The sequence below is a fragment of the Homo sapiens genome, chromosome 5 (assembly GCF_000001405.40).
Source record: "Homo sapiens chromosome 5, GRCh38.p14 Primary Assembly".
In the NCBI taxonomy this organism is placed as follows: Eukaryota; Metazoa; Chordata; class Mammalia; order Primates; family Hominidae; genus Homo; species Homo sapiens.
The window spans coordinates 31,193,162-31,200,855 of NC_000005.10; the positions used below are offsets into that span (position 1 = coordinate 31,193,162).

The 7,694-nt window shown below is 40.3% G+C and overlaps 1 protein-coding gene across 4 annotated transcripts in view; it reads left to right on the top strand.

The window, feature by feature from the left end:
• The first annotated feature begins 524 nt into the window (after window positions 1-524).
• The window catches only part of CDH6 (cadherin 6), a 135,461-nt gene continuing 128,291 nt past the window's right edge, over window positions 525-7,694 (top strand). For 3 of the 4 annotated variants that reach the window (NM_004932.4, XM_047416591.1, NM_001362435.2), the window contains exon 1: window positions 525-725. The gene's annotated coding sequence lies outside the window, so the exon portion shown is untranslated. Of the gene's footprint in view, window positions 981-7,694 lie in introns of all 4 variants that reach the window. The other variant, XM_011513921.4, reaches the window with a different exon arrangement.

The window sequence follows — 7,694 nt, forward strand, 5'->3', positions numbered from 1 at the left end:
AGCGTGTCTTCCTGGGAGGAGAGAAGGAAAGACATGTATGAATCTATCCATGTCTGCTTGCATCTGGAGAACGCCTGTTTATGTTGTAAAGAAAAGCCATCGGTATTGTCATCTCAGGAGACCGGCTTGTTTTATGTGTGTGCATGTTATACGTGCTATCACACGAAGCTGGCCAACTGATAGAGTGACGAGGTACTGTGTCCCTGGGAATTGTAATTGCTTGGTCGGTGAAAAAAAAAGAACATCAGACCATTGCTGATAATAGCACAAGGTGCATTTTGATAGTACAAAAGAGGAAACAGACGGAGTCATACAAGTTCTGAGTATATCTTAAACCCCCTCCAACAAAAAAAAGAAAGAAAGAAAGAAAGAAAGAAAGCAAGGGAAAGCCTGGGGCTGAAGGAGTGTTCCAGGGAGCGAATTGCTCAGGACTTCAAACACTGGGAGTCATTCTGTCAAGGGGAGGGGGCGGGCGGGGGCAGGCACTGGGCCTCTTTAACAAAGTCCTCCTCTCTTTGCTCCCTCCCACTTCATTCACTTGCAAATCAGTGTGTGCCCACAAGAGCCAGCTCTCCCGAGCCCGTAACCTTCGCATCCCAAGAGCTGCAGTTTCAGCCGCGACAGCAAGAACGGCAGAGCCGGCGACCGCGGCGGCGGCGGCGGCGGAGGCAGGAGCAGCCTGGGCGGGTCGCAGGGTCTCCGCGGGCGCAGGAAGGCGAGCAGAGGTGGGTTCGGGCTCCGTTGGCTATGCATACATCTCCCTTTTTTTTTTTTTAATTCTGTAGCGTTGATAGAAGCCAATCAGAGAGAGAGCCCTCTCCGCCCGGTGGGTGCCGCGCCGGAGTTGGGAGGGATGCTCTCAGCCTGCGAGCCCGGGTCGGGGCGGGCGCGCGGGTCCGGCTGCGCGGGCGGCGCTGCTGCCGCTGCTCAGGACCGACGCCGCTTCCCGGGGAGCCTGGGCACCGCTCCTCCGCCTCCTGGTAAGACCGATCCGCCGTGGGGCTGGGTGGGGGCACCGGGAAGCGGGCCGCCGCAGAAGAACCCGCTGCCTTTCTCTACGCCGGCAGAGGCTGCCAGGGGAGCTCTGGCATTTGCAAAGTTGGCTGGTCAATTACCAAAGGGCGCTGGTGCGTGCAGGTCCCGCCGAGCCGTTTGGGGCTTGATTTATCTCCACCTGCCCGCATCATAAGGGTCTGCGTGGTGACTGCTTGGGCTGAGTTACATTTCTTAGCTTTTGGGGTAAAGCAGAAAATCAGGTAGTCTGAAAACTCTGGAATGCTCCCAGTAAGGAAAACTTAAACTAAAGAGACGATTTGGCTGGTAGAAGGAGCTAAAGAAAACTGTTAGCTTGCACGTTCCGGGCAACGCCTGCCGGCTCATCTAGGACAGAAATGCTTAGGTTGCAAGGAAAGTCCAACACTGGACTCCGAAAATGGAGCACACTGTCCAGGGAAAAGTCATATGGAAGGCGCAGTTCGCTCGTGCTCCTCCACGGCTGGCCAGGCTCAAATCTGGGGGATAAAGCCTTCCCCGGACTGATTGGAGAGTGGTTGGAGTGCGCTTGGTTTTCGGTGCCAGATGCTGGAAAATTGGAGCCCCCAATGCGTTAATCCCAGAATTTAATAAAAAGGGACGCTGCAATGTTGTGGACTGCAGCAGTTGCAGAGCTGAGATTACTTCTTCCGTAGTTAGATATTCTGTCATGAGTTACCGTAGATCTCGAGATGGGAGATGCTGGAGAGGTCAGCGTGGTGCTAAGAAGTGTCACTGCTGCAATAAAATCCATATTTTATGGGGAGTTAAATGCAGGTCTCTGTCAGTGCAAAGGGCTGGCCACCTGAGTTAACTATGACTCAGAACATTCAAGAACCAAGAAGTTTAATCATCTGGAATAGCCACACATTTCTGTCTCCTACTCCCATTAAAAAAAAAAAAAATTTAAATGATGATAGTCATACTATAGAGGTGTATCAGACCGTGTCTCTGCGAATCTTCACTTTCACTTCGTAAAGCACACAGTGGGAAAGAAGGAAGAGGTTTTCCCTGCAAGAATGTTGCAGGAGTGGCTGTTGTGTACATATATGGCTGCTCTGGAGGGGTGCAGATCAAAATGTGGGCTTTCTGAGTGGTTAATTATCCAGGGGGTTGCAAACTCCTCCCTGTGTTGGAAAAAGGAACCCAGGGATATGCCTAGTTAATGTACAACTCTTCCAAGAAGGACTAACAAATATGCTTATATGAATAGTGCCAAGGGTTGCTTATTTCCTTTCTTTTCTTGCTGAAAGCTTTACCTGAAAAGGAAAACCCTTAGGATTTTACTTTGAGAGAGAGAAAAAAAATCTCTTCCAGTTTCACCTGAGACTTGAGCATCATCCCGTGTGTAATAGTACTTGCACGGCTCTATGCTTGCATTTTAGAGAACCGTAAAACCAGTTGTGTGAAGAAAGGGGTATGCTTGAGCAGATGTCTTCATTATGTCATAACCAGGAGGGTAAAGTTTATGCCAGAGGCCAGATTGTCAATGCAGAGCTCAGAAACTTAAAAGAAACCCAACAATTGACTGGAAAATGCAATCACATAGGGTTGTATCTCATCCCCTTTTGCTCTTTGATGTGTTCTAATTAAAAAGGTACTGAAGGAAAATAAAAGACAGATCTTTTCCCACCTAATGTAATGGTTCATGCCATACTTTTGAAGCAGAGGAAGTAACCAATTTCTTCAGAAAAACTAAGAGGCAGCAGCCCAATTTTGAAGGAAAATGGTGCCAATTCAGTTCTACTGTATTTGTGTCTACAATTATCTTTTGCTACCATTACAAGAAAGTGACAGTTTGGTATCTCCATAGGGACTTTTAGTCCCTTTACTATCTGGCTTTTACACCAATTTATTGCACTTACATTTTGTACTGCTAACTCTGCAAAGATAATATATGGAAACATAATCATTTTCTACCAAGTTGCCTACTATCAAAAAACGTGTACCCTACCTCTTCCACCCACCACTTCCATCAGCTTTGCAAGGAAAAACTTAGTGAGGCACTCTTCCTTTTTAAGAAAAAATGTACCTTGCAAAATACTGCTCGAGACACTTGAAAACAGCTAAAAATTTTCTAGAAAGCACAGCTACAGTCACAGGGTATTATATGATACTGTATTATTATAGCACCAAATCTGAAAATTAGGACTAATTGAGTGAATGTCCCACAGAGATTTCTTTAAAAGGAATGAAATGTGACCAATATTCTGAGTGAAACTACAATCTTCCTAAGGAATTGAAATGTGTGGTCCCCCCTTCTGGCCCGGTAGTTGCTTTGCAGTCACGAATGCCAACACACTAAGGCTGAATCCTTTGAACTATTCAAACTTTTTTTAGTTGGAAGGGACCTCTAGTGGGTCACTCCATGCATTTCTCCCTGGAGTTCAGCTGCAGAATGGATTTTGTTACCTAAGATAAGAGTATAACAACTTTTTCTCTGTAGACAAGTTAGTATTCTCTAAGCACTATCTTAATATTTGTGACAGGTCAAATCATTATTGCTATTATTTCTGTACTTCCTCTAATTTAGGGGACTTACAAATATTTTTATGGTTTTCTGAATATCTAGACTTTTGGTAACTGCTGGATGATTCCAAATGAAAGCAATGGCCAATTAATAAAGAATTTACCATCATCAATATAAGATTTTCTTATTTCTGATCTTTTCCAAGACTCTACTTCCTTACTTCTAATTTACTCAATAACAATAATAACATTATATTTAGAACTCCAAAAGTTCTACATGAAGAGCGCCGCCGCCCCCCGCCCCCCAACCAACAACAAGAAAAGAAATATTTGCAGGAAAAAAAAGTGCAATGACTGTTTCAGAAATCTGTGAACATTCACAAGTTATGCTGAACTAAGGCCATCTAATTCAAAGAATTCCCCGTTCAAATAAATATATGTTGAACATCCAAAAGCTGTTTAGATACCTGTGTCATCCTTACTCCAGGTTTTTTCTGTTTCATTTCTTTCCTTGATGTATCACAACACATTTTAGGTAACCTACTCCTTAAAATACTCTGCCTGGAACTTGGAGCAGCATAATTTCTGTAGGGTGAATCAGCCTCTTCTGCTGACAGCCTGCAGGTTTCAACTTCCAATTTAAAAATCTGTTCTAAAGTTTGAAATGTGTTCCAAATAAGATAACATCCAGCAGAATCCAGTTGCCTTGTGCTTCTTGCTTAGTCATGGCTGCTTATTCTTTGGTGTCCGTCAGAATTAGGGTCTCACTTATAAAAATAACAAGCAGTGACTCAGTCTGAATTGCATTCTTAACAGTGTTTCAACCTAGTCAGTGTCTACTGAGCACACTTTATTTACTTCACAAAAAAAGTGAAAATGTAGACAATCAAACTTTCTCTGGTTTAAATATTTTTCTGAATAATGATTCTAAATTCAAAGACTCAAGAACATTATGGTAATAGGAGAACTGCAGAAAGAAGAAGGCATACACACACACGCAAACACAGCACCCAGTTGTGACAATGTTCCAAGAATATTAGAGAAGAAATACAGAAATGCAGCATATGGGCTGATTTTCTTTTCTTCTTCGTTTTTTTCATGTTGTTTTCTCCCTTGGGATTTTTATTTTATTTTGAAGACAGATGAGTGCTTGAAGCACTTTACTGAAACTAAATAGTAATATTTTTGTTCCAGCTTGCCTTTTCCAAAGATTAACTGGTCTACTTTTTTAAGTTTCTATTCGTACAGAAGCCTCTCTTTTTCAAAACAATCTTATGAGGAACTTCAGGTTCTCTCTAATTAGCTATTGAACCAAATGTGTATAGTGTTTGTGATGCTATCACCCACAAAGTAGGAAGATAAGGGAAGAGGGGAGAGTATAAACAACCCTTCAAAGAAGTGGTGCATTCAAAATTACTACTAAATAGTTGGGTCAGAGGGAGCCATCTGCAGCCAACAGTCTAGTTGTTCAAAATTGAACTCTCCAAGAAACTTTCAACTCTTCCAACAAAGAAAAGTTATTGAAGGCTGAATGCTCTGAGCACACATTCATAAATGTGGAGTAGACTCATATGCAGAGACTATTAAAGATTATTTCATCTGTTTAATATCTTTACACTAACACCATTGGGTGCTGGTTTCTTCCAGGAATCAGATCACCTTGTTATGATTTATAAGAGGTAGAATTTCATTAATGCCAGAGTGTTAATATTAAATTTGATTTGTCATGTAAATGGGCAGCATGGTTTGCAAGCTTTTCTTAGTGTATGTGGTACTATCTTGTGGGAGAAACGACTTATGAAGAAGATGAGGCACATAAAGCTAGCATACCACAGGGTATGATTTATCTTCATATTTCAGCACTTGAAAGAACACTGTGTTTTCTCTTTCTCTAATTTCCTAAATTGGTAGGTCTGGCCAAAAGATATCCAAGAGACCTAATAAGTTATAGGAAGAGAAAACAGCAAGAAAAAATTAACTTGGGGAAGTGTCCAAGTGAGTGAAATGGAAAGAGATGAGGACGTAAATTTTTACAGCAGAGGGAAACATAAGAATAGAAATAGAATCAAAATTGCCATTTTTACATAGGGTGCATTTTCCTCTTTATAAATAGTGCTACTGTTAAATGCCACCTTATAAACATAATTACATCATTAACATATTTATACACACTACTCATCTCTACCATAAAATGCAAACTTGAAAATTACCTTTAAAAAATCACCATCTAAGGGAGGTAACCCTGGGTGGATGGTAAATTAACTGGAGGAATATCTTTTTCAAAGTGGTCTGAAATTGCATCAGAATCAACGAAAAGATTTCCTTAGTGCATTGAAGAATATCAACTCTTTTCCTTCTATTATCTTTATTGTCCTGCATGCTAAATAGAAAAACCATGTATTCCTCTGATGCCTGCAATCCAAAGTATACAGTAATAATATAGACCAAGTATTCTACTTGTCACCCATTTGGATCCTGTGTGTGATATAGCATGATGAAAGGCAGAGCTACAAGACAGCAACCCCTCACCTCTTTACATGGTAAATATATATATATACACACACATACACACACACACATATGTGTATATATATATGCTCAGAGCATATATATCTATACACACACATATATATAGTGGACAGAAGGAAAAGAGTTGATAATATATGTGTGTGTATATACATATGGTGTATATATATGATGTATATATATGATATATATGGTGTATATATGTATATATGTACTTTACATGGTGTATATATGTACACACATATGTGTATATATACACACACATATGTGTATATATACACACACATATGTGTATATATGTACACACACATATGTGTATATATATGTACACACACATATGTGTATATATATGTATACACACATATGTGTATATATATGCTCAGAGCATATATATCTATACACACACATATATATATCATGGATAGAAGGAAAAGAGTTGATAATATATACGTTTGTGTGTGTGTGTATGTGTGTGTGTGTATGTGTGTGTGTGTGTGTATATATATATATATATATATATATATATATCTCAAAGATAAAAAGCACTCACCAGTATCTTGGCTCAGAACTTTTATACATCCAAATAATAATGATAATAAATAATAAACTAACCTTTACTGAGCTTTTCTATGTCACACCCTCTTCTAAGTATTTTACATGCATTTCGCATAGCAATAATTACACAGTAAATCAAAATGACCCTACTATACTTGTATCCTCTTTACTTAGCCCTTTTTTGGTTTGAATTTCCAGGGAATCTCTGTTTGAGCCAAGCACTTAATGAAGGTGCTGTTAACAAACAGTTGTGATGTCTTAGAAGTAAAAGTGTGACTCTCTCTGAGAACTACAGAGCAGCAGAGGGCATGGGAATGATTTGATTATTTTGACCAGAGCTTGGCAGATGTGAAGGCTCAGGAAGATGTTTTTAAGTTATTCATTTTTGAAAAATCATCTGCAAGCATGTGTCAGAATTTATAATTGTAGTAGAAAGCATTGTGTGGGCCATTTTTATGAACATAATGATGGTACTTTTTATATGAGAATAAATTATCTTATCCTGCCTTCAGAGGGATCTTTATGAGGAAAGGGGTATTTCAGGAAGGTAGCTAAAATGACACCTGTTCATTGCATTGAGAGGGGAGGGACACCTCAACCTCACAGCACCCACTAAGGGCATCAGTCCATTCTCAGCTCGTTGACATTACCATGGATGTAGCATTTGGGACTCTGGGTAGAGCTAAGTAAGATAGTGTTTGTGTCCTTCTTCATCTAGTAAGTAAAAATAATTTTTTATGACCACATTTATTTTGTTACTTCATTACTATCACAATTTGGTATTTGTTCTGAATGATTTACCAAGTAAAATTTCACACATACATACACACACACACACACACACACACACACACATATACACACCACTACCATGCCACCAGAAAACAATCGCCACAAAAGCAAGGAAAGAAAGAGGGAGGGAGGAAAGGAGAAAGGGAGGGAAGTTGGGAGAAGGAAGGAGGGAGAGAGAGGAGTGAGGGAGAGAGGGAGGAAGGGAGGGAGGAAGAAACCCTCTTAATACAGTCACGTTTTATATGGTTGACATTGATGAGCCATTTTCATTATATTCTCTTCTTTCTATTGCCGCCATTCAAAAAGTCATGTAGTTAATC